The sequence below is a fragment of the Homo sapiens genome, chromosome 11 (assembly GCF_000001405.40).
Source record: "Homo sapiens chromosome 11, GRCh38.p14 Primary Assembly".
Taxonomy (NCBI): Eukaryota; Metazoa; Chordata; class Mammalia; order Primates; family Hominidae; genus Homo; species Homo sapiens.
Genome location: NC_000011.10, coordinates 16,407,783 through 16,425,699, shown reverse-complemented (window position 1 = coordinate 16,425,699; position 17,917 = coordinate 16,407,783). Strand labels below are relative to the sequence as shown.

Here is a 17,917-nt window from a genome sequence, read left to right as displayed (position 1 = left end):
CCTGATTTGGATCTCGGCTTGACTGTTGTTGGTGTATAAGAATGCTAGTGTTTTTTGCACATGGATTTTGTATCCTAAGACTTTGCTGAAGTTGTTTATCAGCCTAAGAAGCTTTTGGGCTAAGACAATGGGTTTTTTTCTAGATGTAGGATCATGTTGTCTGTAAACAGGGATAGTTTGACTTCCTCTCTTCCTATTTGGATGACCTTGATTTCTTTTTCTTGCCTGATTGCCCTGGCCAGGACTTCCAATACTACGCTGAATAGGAGTGGTAAGAGAAGGCATCCTTGCAGAGACCTTATTTTGTTTGAAGCTGTATCCTCAGCAACTAGAACAGTGCCTAGCACATGTTAGATGTTCACTAAATATTTGCTGAATGAATAAATGAGAGAATGAATTGGAATCAAGGTGTATTTACCTCCAGAGTCCATGTTCTTAACCACATCTTGCATAACCAGATGCAAATTAGAGCTGTCAGACTGTTTCTTAGAAAATGCTTTGATAAGGGGCCAAAGCATTGGGCCAGTCCAAAGGGAATGAAGAAAAAGAAATGCTAAAGGGGAACTAGCATTCAGAAAGAATAAGTGGCTCAATATAAATTTGCTATAAACTAGAAAAGATAAGAAGGGAGGAGGAAAAGAAGCCTCTGGTTCTAAAGTTGAGTGGCTAACTTCCATAGTAGCTTTCACTAGAACCTGGGCCTGGAAGTTTTTTTTCTTTGCTATCCCACAGCTGCCCGTTGTTTTGACTTAGCCACTTTGTTTCCTGGGAAGGAGAACAGTCAATGTATCTTTCTGATGTCCTTTAATTCATTCACTCACCAACTCCCCTTCCTCAAATATTTTTCTTATTGGGCACTTTCAGATAATTTGTCCCCAGAGCCATATGGCTTGTGGGACACACAAAATATCTCTTGAGTTACTGGTTCAGAGTTGGTAGTTCAGGTGTGTAACTTTATGCCTATCTATAGATATTTCTCTTTGAAATGGAACTTTGTGTATCTCACATCTAGGAATTCCATCCATAGTCTTTTCTGTTTCTTCACCTCACATTGCTTCATGTTCTTTTGCCACTTAAAGCTATCTTTTCTCTTTTTTCTCAGAGGAAGAAATGTTCCATCTCTGTTCAGAAGGTGACATCACCACTTGTGCCTTTTTACTTCCATTCCCTCTACAGAGGATTCCCTCTCTTAGTTTGCATGGTGTTGGAGATTCAGGATCCATTTTCTATTTTGCCACTTTCTGGCTTTGGGAAGTAGAACGAGTTACTTGCCTTTTTTGAGTCTCAGTTTGTTATCTTAAAATACCATTTGTCTTGCTAACCTTGCAAGTTTGTAGAGAGTCAGTTACAATAGTGTATATGAATCCACTTTGTAAGCTAGAAAACACCATTTAATGCAAGATGCTATTATTACAACCTATGTGCACAAATAATTCAGATTTCTTCTTAAAATAGTTTTCCTCGACTTTGGTAACCCTTGAAATATCCTTATTTCCTTCTTCCTTTTACCGTCAAACCTCTTGAAAGAATAGTCTTTATTTTCTATCTGTATCTCCTTATTCCTCTGTCTATTGGCATCTGGCTTCTATTTCATTCTGGGTAACTGTATTGAATGTGCTGCCTTCCAGATTACTAGAGATTGCCTAATTCCATATTTAATGTCTTTTTCTCAGGCCTCACTCTTCTCACTTTCTGTAGTAATTAATACGGTTGACTAAAATGGCTCATCACAGCACTTAACACATAGTAGGTATTCAACAAGTTTTTAGCACATAAATGTTCCTTTTTAGCCTTTTTAGATTAATCTACTTTTTTCTGCTTATAAAACAAATGTGTGCATCTCTAAGTTTAGTTCTTTCTATGCTGTTTTCACTCTGTACTTTCTAGGAGGTCTGATTTATTCTATTGCCTTTTAACTCTACATGGATGGATCTCATGTCTACTTTTCCAGGTCTGTCCTCAGCCTTAGTTCTGCCTGTTTAACTCTATATTTTTACCTGGATGTCTCATTGTCACTTCAAATTCAGCAAGTTTACCATTTCTTTCCCCTAAGTCAATCTCCTTTTCAGCCTTTTTTATTTTTGACAGGGATGCAAGCAGTTAGTCACCAGACTTGAGACTTTAGAAAGGTGTTGACTCCTTTTTCTTTATGTATTATTGCAGTGGTCACTCATTTGTTCATCAGATGTTTATTCAGTATTTGTTACACATAAAGCACTATTCTAGATGGTAGGAATATTGAAGTGAAACAAAACAGACAAAAATAACGTCACAAGGATCTTATTTTCTCATCATTTGCATTTATTAATCCATTTATTCAATAAATATTTATTGAGAGTGATGGCGGTACAATTTTTTTATAGGGTTGTCAGAGAAGGCTTCTCTGATACAGAAAGATTTGAAGAGACACCTGAACAAAGTGAGAGAGCAGGTCATGCAAAGTACTGGAAGAAGAGCTCCCAGGCAAAGGGAAAAATGTATAGAAAGGCCTTGAAGAGTGAGGAGCTTGTCTGTTCAAAGAAAAGCTGGCACCAATAGAGTGATGAGAGTCAAATGGGTGAATAAAAGGGAATTTGGAGATAACATTAGAAAGATAGCTGGTAGCCAGGTTAGGTAGTTCCTCAAAAGAATGATGAAGACTCTGGGTTTTCTCTAAGTGAGATAGGAAGCCACTGGAGGATTGGAGAAGCAAACTGATATAATTTACATTTAAAAATAATCTGATATTAGAAGAATAGACTATAGAAGAGCAGTTGTTGAAGCAGAAACACCAGTTAGGAGACTAATATAAAGGTGTTTATATGAGAGATGATGATGGCTTGGACTAGAGTCGTAGCAGCAGAAAATGGTACATACTATGAATACATAAATTAGAAAAAAAATAAAGGTTTTTTGAGTAGATGTCACTTCCTCTATTAGCATGGCTTTGTGAGTTGGCAAAATTTTTCCTTGGAGGTGCCTTTTCCTTAGATGTTTACAGCCCTGTGCAGGGTGCATGATTTAGTGAGCAGTGCTGGCTAGGTTTGCAGCCTACTTGCTCCTTCAGCTGGGCACCCTTGTGCAGTGAATAAAGTGTATAATGGTACACAACCATTTGGATAGAGGTGAAGGGAGTGCGAATTAACTCTTAAAAAATGTTTTTATTCCCATTATTCTCAAAAGGCCCTTATCACTTCCCATATATTTAATCTCTCCAGGTAGACTATAAGGCCACTGAGGACCAGAACTGTGTCTTATTCTTTGCTTCAGTAGTACCTGACATGGTGTCCTATCTGTAGTCTGAGGTTTGTTGATGGTGAATAATGAAACTATTTTATGTCAATCCTTTGCACAGATCATTTTACTAAAGTTCCTGAGGTCTAAAATAGTTCTGCATGTTAATAAAATATAATTATAGCAGCTTATATCCATTGTTAAGAGACATAAACTGTCAAATGTAAAGGCCATTAGTGTGACTTATATAAAAGTGGATGTCTTTTTTTCCTGTCATGTAGTATTAGTTGCCATCTGAAAGACTATTTCAATGTACCCAGGCTTATTTTAATAGCTCATACCAACTGCAAGGAAAGTGATAAAATATTTTATTTTTTTCGTATGTCCTTATTTCAGTAATGCAGCAGTATCTTGAAATGACATGGTATGGATGAAGCACGCCTAGGGACTGCTGCCAAGTCCTACATAGCAGCAGCATGGAAGTAGTTGAGTCAGTTTCACCAAAAGTTTGAAATCTATTGTGTTAGAGGCATGTGCAAAAGCTGTGTTAATTGCTAGCTTATTTTCCAAATGGTTCTGTTTTAATGAAGCATATTTAATGCAGATGGTTGGAAAGTAAGTTGGGCAATGACTAAACTGACTCTAACAGTAAACTGATTCTTACAGTGCTTTCACTCCAATACTTAACAGTGCCTTTGTAAAGTTCCTTCATTCACAGTTTTTACTTGAAATGTGACCTAAGATAACTAAAAACTATTCTTTCTTTAAACTCAATCTCTGAAAAGAACAAGAACAGTCATAGTTCCTAATTGAAGTCAAAACAAATCAAGTCAAAGATAGTGCAGCTTGTTTTCTTTTGTACAATATCATTGAATTCTCTTCATCATTACTACGGCTATTTCTGAAGATGTTTAATTGAGATAATGGGCATTATAAAGGGTTACATACAGGAACTGAAATGACTTTACCAAATGCTGAAGTTGGCTTTGTTCACACGACAATAATTTTACCTCTTCAGGGGTATGAAATAGAACAGTCTAGAATATTAATATTTCTTATTTGCACATTTTCTATATTTTATGCATTAAAATCGGACTTACTAGATGTTAACATTAAGTTAGAAATGAAATCAAGGATAAATTGTCCAGCAATACTGTAAAATCTTTTTATTTCATTTTTTCTATGAGACTCAAATATCAATATATAGTCATTGTGTTTGTCTTCAATCTTTTGAGAGTTCAGATATGTTATCTTGCTTAACAATGATGTGCTGATTTCTTCTAAGTATTTTATTTTGGTGTATTTTGGTGTACTTATAAATATGTACAATTGTCTTCATATTTGCTCGAGAATAAGGATACTGTCCCTGTTAGACTCCAGGTTGAGTTCTGAGAGGAAAAAGGGAAACATGGTTCAAAGGGTTTGTATCAATTTTGCCATTTTTTTTCTCACATTGTCACTAAAGTATTCTCTTCGTTATCTGAATAAGACATCTGCTAACTAGTTTGGCCCTTTTTACCTGATTGTTTAAGAAGTCTTAGCTAAATGTTAGGCCTTGGAGGCCCAGGAATCTGCTAAATGCTGCTGAGCTTGAAAGACATAATGTCCTTGGTCTGTTTTGTCTCTTCCACTCTTGGATATCTTTGATAAATAACCCCGATGTAAATGTGGGATAAATCAAGCAATGGTGTATTCTAAGCAGTGACTGGCCCAAAGGATGAGTTACATCTTAATAAGCAATAGACTTTTCTCATATTCAAAAGAGGTTGAAGAATACAATACAAAAATTAAGTTTTCACCCAACTTAGTTATATAAATATGGGGAGTCCTAACACTGAAGAAAAAAATACGTTTTAAAAAACTAGTTTGTGAGAAATCTTCTAGAATAACAATCCTACTTTTTATCTCTCTCTAGTAGTCTTTCCCTAGAGGAGGTTAACGTTAGATCAGAAAGTTCTCTGCCCAGATGTATTTGGGGAGTTGTATTGAACATATCCCTTTGCCACAGAAACTAGTCATCTTTAAATGTCAGCTTCAATGTTGAAATTTTATGAGAATGGAAAGGAATACACATTTTTACTTATTTTAGACCTCCCTTTGGAAAATGTAGTCGGCTGCTGTTGTCTCAAGTTGGAAGGGTTTACAATGTTTTCTTCAAATATTCATCTCAAATACTCATGGAAAGCAAATGCAATCCAGAATTAGACAAGAAGAATAAATGTACCTTCCCTTTAAAAAACTTATTAATTGTAGCACATCAGTCTTAGTCATTTTTTTGACCTTTCTCTCAATTTATATTTACCCTGGATACTTTTCTTTTGTCTTGTTTATTTTAAGCATGGCTTAATTTTTCACTGGAGCAAGAGCTTAAAAACGTCAGAGTAAGAAGAGAACAATTACATTTGTGACAATTATCAATTACTTGAACATTATTCAAGATAGAATATATTTTCCAATTAATGTTAAAAACAGAATTGTAGAATTACTTTTGAGTTTGATTCACTTTGAGAAATCTAAGAAAAAATTTAAAAATCCATTCTGTCACCTTTTCCCCCGTCATGTAGGGATGTTCTTAAAGTCAAAGAGAGTTGCTGTTTGGAATACTCTCTGACTTTGAAGCCTGTGGAAAACCACTTATGAGGTACAGGGAGCCTTATGTTGAGTTAGGCAGCTGGAGATGAACTATTGCCATGGTGCTAATAGTAAGTATGGGAGGGACTCTGAAAATGAGGTTTAAAATATCAGGTTGCCCCGAGTAACAGTTTATGGATAGGAAAAATCCGGCTATATTATTCATCATTATTATCTATATGTCATTGTAATCTAGATGTCATGTATTTTTCATCATTATTATCTAGAAGTCAGGTATTTGGGAGGGTGTTTCTCTGTAAGAAATTGCAAAAACAATGTTTTTATTTTAGAGAAAATAAGATATTTTGCATTTTTTTTTATTTTTAAAATTTCTCACTATGGTTTTCAGGTCTAATCCTTGAACTGTATCTCTTTTGGTCTTGATTTTGTTTTCAAAGAAATAGCAGAGCTAAGCTTTTCATTTAATTGTAATAAAATACTGCCCTAAAGGAGAAAGAAATATGATTTTTTTACTAGTTTATATGGAAAAGCATATAACTGTAATAATATTTTAACTATAGTTTGTATAGACCATACTCATTTAAACTCTATGCAAATCTTTGTTACTTTAGGGCAAAGAAGCTACAAAACCATAATGTGTGGTGTAGTGAGCACACACCATAAATTTGATAATCATACTTGTGAATTCATCATATTTTATACAGGAGATCGTTGTAGCATTATGAATAGTAATGTGCAAATGGCATGAAAAAAATGTTGCCACACTCTTAAATCTGTGCCAAGTTGCATTGATTGATAAGTGAAGATATTAAAATAGCAGAAATTTTGCATTGACTTTAATGCATGGAGTTTCCATAATTCCCAATGAATCTGGAATGTTAATATAAATACTCTTTTTGTGAGGCGGCAGGAAACATGCTGCCCAGACTACACATGTTACCCAGCTAGGACTGCCTCTACTGTTCAGAGAAATAGGAGTGGGAGGCTGTCTTAAGTGAAAGTGAAAAAAGGCATTTGTTTAGCTGCATGGCAACACAAATATTTCGCTTAGTGAGACTGACAATGCATCTCATTATGTGAACGGGTGCCAGCTTGTAAAAAATTTCTGTTTAACTTTCCATATTAGTTAAAGGTGCCCATGCTTAACTGTTTGAAGCCTGCCAATCAGGTTCCCTCCCTCTCCCTGGCCCCCCTCCCACTCCCTGTTGTTGCCCCCAACTTTTTGTCTACCACTGTTTTTTCCCACAGTAATAGATGAGAGAGCTAAGGATAGCTGGTCCATTGAATGCTGTTAGGAATATGTGGGGAACTCTGCCAGATTGAAGTCGGCCTCGAGCTAGACATTTGTTACTTCTTCCCATTTCTCTTATTCCAGATGCACTTTTTTTAAGGCTAATTGTTATATTCTGCCTTGACAGTAGAAACATTCAATGGTATTGTTTCAAGTTGACAGTTCCCTGTAGTACTACCATTGTCTGAGTACCAGTCCCATGTTCTCAGGATAAAAAATCCTTGATCTTAAATTCTCCAATCTCTTGCAATGCATTTGGATCCTAGGCTGTTTTCCTTTTTATAGTGATAGAAAGCAGAGGAAAATGAACTAATGATGATTACCATATCACTTTTAAAAAATTAGTTATTTTACGAATTTCAAAATACCTTGTACTTCAGGAGTACTTTAGATCAAGGTCTCTATGTTTGAATTGCCATGATTCCTGCATTGTATGCAATTTCAGTAGTTTTATCAGGATATAGTACTGTAAGGTGAAGGCAAAACACATTTTTAAATGTCTGTGATTATAATATACAACTGAAAGATTCTTACCATTCATAATGCATAGAATGATGTACAAGGACCCACCTAGATGAGTAGTCGAGGAAACGTACATTTTTAAATAATTTCATCATATTTTTTAAAAGCTGTAGCATCAGGAATATTAGCGTTTGTTTAAATATTTCAAAATGGCTTACCCAGTGAGAGAGTGTTGGTTACAGAATGAACTCAGAGAAATAATTTATAGTAGACAAAGCACTTTAAAATTATATAAACAAAGAGTTAAAACTAGGCATCACTTTGCATGAAGAAATTGAAAACAAATTCAAATAGTAATTGTTTTGCACCAATATCTGCATAAGGTTTAAGCAATTGTGTTCCATGGTTATATGTATATTTGTTTTATAAAAATAGTTGGGGCATTCAACTTTTAAAAAATAAGATGTATATTCAGGTATGAGAATTAGAAGCCTATTCTCAAACTGATTTTTTTTTCCAAATTAAGTTGCTGGAATATTGCAGTAAAATATTTTCCTTTTCTTACTTCCCACTGCCGCATTCTGGTTCTTATCCTATTGCATCTCTGTCTATTTTTAGATGGATGTTGGTCCTCTTGGAAAAGAGAATCCTCCTAAATCCAGAAGACTATGGCATCATCTGTCAGGCAGAAGCCTGAACTGGCTGAGGGGTTGTAAATGCCTGCCCTGCCAAGGATCTTTCTGACTTCTTTAGCACCTTATTACCCCAATCACAGTCGTGAATTTTTGCTGAATTAGTGGCATTCTGGCCCTGTGTCTGAGCCTTTCAAAGAGAAAACACAATATGCTGTCCATTGATAGGATGGGCCAGGGGTATGGATGGTTAGGAGGCAATGCAGTTACAGTCTGGATGGAACCCAAAGTAAATGTGTTGCCATTAGCATTCTTGTTAATTAGATACTCATGGTAAGCCTCAAAGTGCCAATATATGAATTTTTAAAAAAAGCACATTTGGATTTTCCTGTGCTGTGTATTATTGCTTAGTTCTTCCTCAACAAAAGCAACTCATTTCCTCTCTTCAAGCAGGACAATACTTCCACTTTCTCACCAAGGCTGGCTGGTTAGTGTAGCTAAATTCGTCCAGTATGAAAGGACATCAAATTTACATGGGGAGTTCTGACTCCATTTCACGCTTCAGTGTGAAAGGTAGAAGGAAGGTATTGTTCTATGGAATACTTCTGTCTCCATGTCTTCCATCTTGCCCATCCAATTACTAGTTGACATTTAAAGTATTTGGTAGTGGCTTTATGGGACACTATTGTGATATTCTGTCAAGATTTCATAGTCCCCAAAGTGGAAAAATACCTCTGGTTTCTTGTCAATTACAGTTCCTAGCAGATAGTAAGCACCTAATAAATATTTGTTGAATGAATAATTGAGTGAATTTGTGAAAGTATAGGAAATGTTAAGAAGAGAAGAATATAAAGTTCTTGAAAAATGCTGCTGAGAATGATTTAGTGTCGTGGATGCTTAAAGTCCAAATTCTGAGATTAGCTGGCAACCTGTTGAAATGAAGACTCCTTAATTTAAATAATTTGGGGCAGATTTTCAGACTTTACTTTTTAGCTGGTACAAATTAGCCATTATTTGTTTCCAAGAATTGTCAGGTAGTATTCAGTTTTCCAAATCTGGTATTTTAGAAGGTAGTGGAATCCTCTAAAATGTCATACTTGGAAGACTGCCTACAATTCAGAATAAATAATTTTTATAGTTCCAGAGAGACTAGAGACTTCTTGGAAAATTCTGTGCCTATCTGTTGTTTTATATTTTCCTTGCTAAAGAATAATGCTGGAAGCATGATGCTCACCAGTAGGAAAAATTGGCATTTCAGTCTACAGGGAGCTTGGCAAAAGTCTTTTTCTGAACATGCTTTTCTTTCTGTTAAAGTTTGATTGTGAATCATGTGGGTCTAAATGTGAAGGTGTATTTTTCCAGCTGACCATGGTACATGTGACAAGCAGACTGTCTCTAGTGCTCTATTAGCCTACTGTGGTGCTAATGCCTTACGAGGTGAGCACCATGATCATGTTCATTGTACGGAGAGGTAGGCAACAGAGTAAGTGTATACTCTTTAAAGAGCTACATATTGGGACCAATCCCTTGTGAAGTCATGTGTGCTAAACTTTATGCTGAATATTTAAAATCAAAGGACTATCTAGAATCCCAAATCCCACCAGTGTTCCTCATAACTTTACTCTTTTAATCTAGGAATCGATACACTCAGGAGGCATTTTTTTCTTCAAGATTCTCTTTACTGTTATTTTCCTCAATGACATGCCATTTAGATTGCCAGATAATCTAGAAGTTTGCTAGTATCCCTCGTGATTGATCATTTATTCTGCCTGTGTATTCCATGGTGTTCTTTGTGCATATAATTTTTAATTAAGACATAATAATTGTACATATTTATGGGGTACAGAGTGATATTTCAATATCGGTATACAATATGTAATGATCAAATCAGGGTAATTAGCATATCCATCACCTCAAATATTTATCATTTTTGTTTTGAGAACATTCAAAATCATGCTGTCTTCTAGCTACTTGAAAATACTCAGTAAATTGTTAACTATAGTCACCTTCAATGCTGTAGAAAACTAGATTCTCCTATGTAGTATTCTATAGAAATTCCTCCTATCTAGCTGTAATTTTGTATCTTTTAACCAACTTCTCCCTGTTTTTCTCCCTGTTACCTTTCCTATCCTCTAGTAGTTACTATTCTACTCTACTGCTATGAAATCAGCTTTTTTTTTTTAAGCATCCATATAAGAATGAGAATATGTAGTATTTATCTTTCTGTGCCTGGCTTATTTCACTAAACAAATAGTTATATTTTATTTTTGGTAACAAAAGTCTTTGTAGGGGCCTAGATATTTTTATTTACATGCCAAATTAAGCAGGTAATTTACATGTCTAGGCTGTCAAACATTCAAACGTACTTCCCATTACATGTGGGAGGCTTACTTCATATTTTCTTACTCATTTGCAAAATAAAAATATTGAAAAAAGAACATGTATCTTGGGTACCTTCTGCATATAATGCCCAATACAGATGTATTTGAAGAGTTCCATTATTCATACATTGTGAATATAATGACTAGCAAAGTATTCTAGCATACATTATTTATAGCTCTCAGAATCTTCTAATATTGAATAACAATGCATTAAAATATAGAATATTACAAAATAGCTTATATTTATATTATCCTCTCATCCAAAATTCTGTAGATATTTTGGAACTGACTGACATAGAAGCAGTTTGTATTTTCTTGATATATTTCATGTAGTTTCTTGTACCTGGAATACTTCTGTTAAACATATTTACTTGTAGGAATTTCATCCATCTTTCAAGGCCTAGCTACTTGTAGTCTTCTGTGATCTCGCCTCTGTGATCTGAACTCCCATAGCATTTTGTCTCTCTCTTTTTGTTCTTGTCACAATTTATCTTTTTAGTAATTTTTGTGAACAGTCCTTTTATTAATACTAGTTTCTGATGGAAAGTTTTGTGTTTTTTTTTAAACTTGCAGGGGTATTAAGTATAATCCATCTTACTACATGACCATATATAATGCCCATTATTCAGTAGGCACTCAGTTTATAATTACTGAGGGAATTAATTAAAAATTCTGCAAATTTCCATATTCCCAATTCTTTTCATAATTTACCAAATTTGCATTGCTTTTCTTACATTTAGCTTTTCTTATATGTGCTGCCAGCTTTTACTATTTTCATGTTATCCTGAGAGTTAGGTAAAAAGTAGTTTCTTGAATTTGCAGATGAGTTAAATGAAACGTTTCTGAAGAACATGAAGTGTATTATTTATCCTGCGACCTGAACAAAATCTGGAGCTTTTGGTGGGGGAAAACAAAAAGAAGGAATTGGCACATCACTCTCATTATCACTGCTCATGCTTCTTCTCTCCCACTGCCAGTTATGATTTTGGAGGAGTGGGGACTATGACATGTTTCTTTGTATCATCTCTAGCACAATAGTTTGCTCATTGTCAGTGCTCTAAATGTATGCATAAAATGAATGTGTGAATGAATTTGACATAAATGAATATTGTTTTTGGTACCTCAGCCATTCTTTCCTTTAATCGCTTTCCAGTTTCCCCAGGCTTCTTTTGCATTTATGTTCTCCTTCCAGTCCCTCATATAAAACCCTCCTTTCAGGAAAGAATTGGGTGAGCATACTCAACCCAAGATATTAATGGCCAAAAAATGTTAGACTTTTGTGGTATACGCATTTAAAAGTGTAGAACTCGGCCGGGCGCGGTGGCTCATGCCTGTAATCCCATCACTTTGGAGGCTGAGGTGGGCGGATCACCTGAGGTCAGGAGTTTGAGACCAGCCTGGAGAACATGGTGAAACCCCGTCTCCACTAAAAATACAAAAATTTGCTGGACATGGTGGCAGGTGCCTGTAATCCCAGCTACTTGGGAGGCTGAGGCTGGAGAATCGCTTGAACCCAGGATGCAGAGGTTGCAGTGAGCCGAGATCACGCCACTGCACTCCAGCCTGGGCGACAAGAGTGAAACTCCATCTAAAAAAAAAAAAAAAAAAAAAAAAAAGTAGAAGTCTTTTCAGATACAAATTAAACTAAATGAATTAAGTTATATGGGATCCTCATTCCCTCATTCATGTTTATAGTGGCCTTTAAGCAGTTTTTATATTACTTGAGGATCCATCAAAATAAATTTTTAGAGATGGGTAGCTAGGGCTCTGTAAATCTTTGCAAGAGTTCTAAGAATTTAGACTTAAAGGGGATGATGGAATGATTACTTGGGGTAGCTGTCTCTGAAGTAAGAGAAGGGACAAAAGTTATCGAATGAAGAATACTTTTATTCTCATTTGTCTTAAGAATTGCTAGATTCGTGTTTTTTGTCCCCCTTTTGGGACTACTAGAAACAATGCAAAGAAGTTTTTGCTGTGCAACTGCTATTAAATGAAGTTTGCAATTGTTTTTATATTTTTCCTCTGAAGTTACCTCACTGTAATAATTACTGTCAAAAGAAACTCTTTTGCTGTTTACTGTTTTCACTATGCAGCATTTGTTCTGGTTTTCTTTTGGGGAACAACCCTTCTTTCACTTTTGGTACCTGTGGTTGAGGTGGAACTGCCTTTTTCCTCCCACGTCATAGGGAGTGGGCATTTCATACTCCTGGCAACAGTGATTGGTTCAGAAATAAACATGCTATCCAAGCCAGGCCAGTGAGACTCAATCCTGGGATATTTCCTGGAATTACTGGGAAGGAAACACTGTCTTTCTACTGAGGTTTCTAACCTTGAGCTTCTGATAGTCATCTTTGCCACTGAAAGGGGAGAGCCTGCCTGAGAGAGAGAAGGAGAAAAACCAATTTCCTAATTATACCATTTAAGTACTGAGTCCAGGTGTGTTAGAAGGCAGGACTTTTCAATTAAGTGAACCAATAAATTATTTTTTGTTTGCCTGTTGGTTTACTTTTTTATTTGTTAGAGATGGGGGTCTCATAGTATTGCCCAGGCTGATCTCAAGTCATCCAGGCTTAAGTGACCCTCCTGCCTTAGCCTCCTGAGTAGCTGGGACTGCAGGTGCCTGCCATAGTGCCCAACCGACAAATTATTTTTTTAATAAAAAAAGCTACTTTGAGTTGGTTTTTTATCACTTACCCAACTGAGTGTTGTAATGCATACAGCCAAAGTTGCATAACTGCACAACTGTTATGGTGGATGCATATATGGATATATCTGATTTGGAGAAATATTTTAATGTCCATTGTCTCACCTAATATTTGCGATTTATTCTAGTTTACTTTTCATGAGCATAAAGGAGTATGGGTTTTATGATGAAATGTGTTACAGTTTAAACAAATATAGTTTTAGCTGAAATAATGTTATTAGCATTGTCAAAGAATAAAATGCAAATGAGATGATATAAATAGATAAAATCCAGACTTTTAGTTTATATTATTTTGAAAATAGAATAAATTTATAGAATTTCTATATCTAGCTTTCTGTGTGTAGTTTTCCTTTTTCATAAATGAAAGAAGTTGAAATTTGCTTATATTTTTGATATTCACTTATTTATAGCAATTTGATACTTTTATTAGATACACAAGTTCAACAGGAATTGGACAGAGTACTTTATCTGCTTATGTCTGAAGAAATATTCTCTGCTTGTGACATTTTCATATGTTAATCCTTTTCATTAATGTATAATTGTTAATAGATTTGCTTCAAATTAAAGCTCTCACTAGTTTAGAAAACAAAACAAAAATGAATATTGTAGTACAAATTTTGCATTCACCTAGAAAACATAATCTGGATTTGAAAGAAAATTTATTCTCCAAATATAGCTATGCAAATTCTGCTTGACTTTGGTAAGTCACTGTTAAAGAAGTAATGTTTTTAATTTATATTTCTTGCTCTTTTAGGAGGTCTGCATTTTGTTTGTGTTTTTATATTGAAATATGCATGTAAAGACTAGGTTGATAGTTTAATCATCTCTCTTAAGCACAGGCTGGACCATTTTGTAGTAAATGTACTTAAAAATCCCAACATTAAAATAATATCCTGTTTTTTTTAATCCATGAAATTAAAAGATGTGTATTCTCAATAAAATTTGGTCTTTTTTACCTGGCAAACCTTAAGTGCCAAGGTCTTAAGTTGGCAGTTTTTTCCCTAGCCCTTATAGATATGTCTCACATTTATAAGAGCCTCAGATTTAAGTCCCTTGGGTGTTGATACTTTCATTAGGAAAAGATTGGGGTGCTAACTAGTTTATGAGAGTAAGGGCCTCATTAGAACAATTTTAAAATCAAGCCAAAACTGAAAAAGCCAATTAACCTTTGAAAGTCCTCGCAGACAACAGCACATTTGGAATAGCATGCACACTTAGTTATACAGGTGGAGTTTCTCAGAGGTAGTAGATTTTACAGTTTTACTATCAGTCATTATGTAGAATTTCCCCTTTCTTCAGATGACCCCAAATTTGCAACCAAGACCAAATACAATTTAAAATGGATAAAATTCCTCCTAGGAAGAGCCTTCTCTGACACTACGCCTTTCCTGTTCCTTTAACCCTTCTATGTGTGATTTTTCTTTTTCTTTTTTTTTTTTTCAGTCACTCACTATCTCCCCTACCCTAAGTTGTTCATAGGATAGTATCACATAGTAGTCATATGCACCCTTATTATTATTTTTGGTTAAAAGTTATGTTAAAACAATAAGAAAAAAGATAAAACCTCTCATACACTTCCACAGTATATCATCTGTTTTCATTTTTACCTGCTTATTTCCAGTCCTTGTTCATACTTGTTCATATCTTTTTTTTTTTTTTTTTTTTGGAGACCGGTTCTTGCTCTGTTGCCCAGGCTAGAGTGCAGTGGCATGATCATGACTCACTGCAGTCTCGACCTCCCAGGCCCAAGTGATTCTCCAATCTCAGCTCCCTCAAGTAGCTGGGATTAGAGGCGCACACCACCATGCCTGGCTAATTTTGTTTGTTTTTTGTAGAGATGAGGTTTCACTTCATTACACAGGCTAGTGTCGAACTCCTGGGCTCAAGCAATCTTCCCACCTTGGTCTCCCAAAGTGCTGGTGTTATAGGCGTGAGCCATCATGCCTGGCCCCTTGCTCATATCTTTTAAAAACGAATTTAATGTAACTGCAATTAGATCATAGATGTCATTGCGTGTTCTTTGTTTCTTACTTAATGTTAAATAATAAATATTTCCCACCACAAAGAGCCTGTCATGACCTACACAAACACTTAGGGAAGCCCTGGTGTGTCTTATGTCTTTTGGGTCAGAACTGCTATTTGGACATTACTTTATTTTATTATTTTATTTTTAAAAACTCATTTAAGATTTAGAAACTTTTAAAATTTCTTTATTTAGTTTTTGGGTAAATTATAATTATATGTATTTATGGGATACACTGGGATATGATATATGTATGCATGTGAAATGTATACATGTGGAATGGTAGAATCAAACTAACATATCCATCACCTTAAATACTTACCATGTGTTCCTCCTGCCTAATTGCAACTTTGTACCCTTTAACCAACATCTCCCTATTCCTCCCCATCCCCACCCAACCTCTGGTAACCACCTACTGCTCTCCGCTTCTATTGAGTTCAGTTGTTTTAGATTCCACATATAAGGGAGAACATGTGGTTTTTGGTTTTCTATATATTTGGGCCTTATTTTAGATAGTCTTCCTCTTGGCCTTGAGTTATTCTATTGAAAATTAGCCTGAAGCTTTTTTTTTTAAACCGAGGAAAGACATTGTTTCTGTCTGTGATGGCAATGCATCCTAAATTTTACCAATAACTATATAGTTTTTGGTAGGTTTTGTCTTCTATCCATTGCATCTGTTGGGATGCTTATAGAGTTATTCTTCTTTAATCTGTGAATATGGTATTATTGGTAGATTTTCTGAACCATTTAGGATAACCGTGACAAAACTTATTTGTTCTCAGTGGATTTTCATTTACACTATAGAATTAGTTAAAATTTAAAGGATATTTGTAACTGTGTTCATGATTAGTCAGTGATTTTCTCTTCTTCTAGTGTGTCTATTTTATTTTGGAATCAAGGATAGATATTCTAGCCTTATAAAATGCATTCAGAGTCATATATATCTTAGTGTGGAAGGAACTCATGATATTACCTCTCCTAGAGGCATTTGCAATCAATTTATGTTAAAGCTGTTAACTGGGAGGAAAAATATTTTTATCTTTAAAGAATTTTGAAACATAAACCCAACATAGCTGTTTTCCCCCAATCCTCTGCCTGTTTTTTTTTTTTTTGGAGGGGGGTTAGGGGACTGCAAGAGGAAAGTTAGGGATAGAGAAAATGTTGGTAAAGAATGGAGGTTGTCGCCATAAGGCTCTGTCATAGCAATGAAATTATTTTGGTGATTATCTTTCACTACTTTTTGGCAGGCCTATGGTTTAATCCATTGGAATTCAGAAGATAGCAGGTTGATGGCATTGGTTAGGGAAGATATTGATCATCAGAGAAGGTGTTAAATGAACAGAGAAAAAGCCTCTTGCACCAAAGTTGAAGGTGATCTGAGGTCTAAATACTTTAGTCTGTTTATGTACCACATGTCCTTTATAAAGGCAAAAGGGTAGAACTTCTCCTTCAGGTCCCACAATTACCCCATTGGTTACATTGAGCCATTTATGACATCATTCTTCTTGTGAGTCTTTCCTTGGGGTTAGTTTTAGTCATATTTTTATCTCTATAAAACATCAGGCTGGGAGGTGGTGTGTGCCTGTAGTCTCAACTGCTAGGGAGCCTGAGGCAGGAAGACTCCTTGAGCACAGGAGTTCAAGGCCAGCCTGTGCAACATAGTGAGACCCTATCACTCTGGAAAAAAAAAAAAAATCTGCGGAGGTAGGTGTGGCTTCACATGTAATTTGACCCATGTTTCATCTCATTTCATCCTGTAAAAAATAGTTTAAAACAAATGTTAGAAACTCCTAACTTGGGGCTTCCTAAATATCTGATGTGACTGGTGATGTAATTTAAGAGAGTATGCTTACTTTTTTCTGTCCTTGTCTGTTCTTCTAATTGTATGATAATTTTAATCAACACAGCTTTTAAGCACATACTATGTACCAGATGAGATATATGTATGCATGTGAAATATATATGTGTGAAATGATAGAATCAGGTGAATGGATATGTAGAGACAATGTTCTTAAGGAGTTCGAGCTTTCCTTTTCCGTCTTTGTTCTTTATGGTCCTTTCCTTTTCTGATATGCAAGCACTTTTGTTTCTCTTTGCCTCTCTGTCAAAGCAAAGAGAGTTTTAAAAGAAATTTTGAGTTGAACGTAAGCTGCTTCCTTTCAGAAGAGTTAGTACAGCTCTCTGAACATGGACTTAGTGTTTGTTTAGAATGCAGTATTAACGAGGGCACAAGCCTTGATTTTTCTATGGACCTATTAGCTTTGCTCTTTTCCATGACCTTGAATCACTGCTGTAATAATTGATACTTGCTAAAGACCAGGTGAGAGGAGTTGGTTGATCAAAACACTAGAAAAATAGGACAAATTGCATTCTTTCCTGTTATTCTTATTTATAAAAGGCAAACCATCACTCAGGGCTTTACTTTAAAACAAAATTATTATTAAAATAAGTTGTAAAGGAATGTGGAAAAAATGAAAAGGGAATAAAAATGATTTTATTATGTTATTTATTTTTTTCCTTTCTGTATTAGTTAGGTAATTCTTAAGAATGTCTTCTCCATGTCATTTAGTTTCCTTTTTAATATCTTTGGATGCAAGATTGAGCTTTGCTGGCCTTTAT

At 35.3% G+C, this 17,917-nt stretch overlaps 1 protein-coding gene across 3 annotated transcripts in view; it reads left to right on the top strand.

The window, feature by feature from the left end:
• Positions 1–17,917, top strand: part of SOX6 (SRY-box transcription factor 6) — a 772,029-nt gene that overhangs the window by 312,778 nt on the left and 441,334 nt on the right. The window contains exon 1 of one of the 3 annotated variants that reach the window (NM_001145811.2): positions 16,844–17,002. The exons of the other annotated variants lie outside the window; for them this stretch is intronic. The gene's annotated coding sequence lies outside the window, so the exon portion shown is untranslated. Of the gene's footprint in view, positions 1–16,843; positions 17,003–17,917 lie in introns of those variants that run through there. 3 annotated transcript variants of the gene reach the window in all.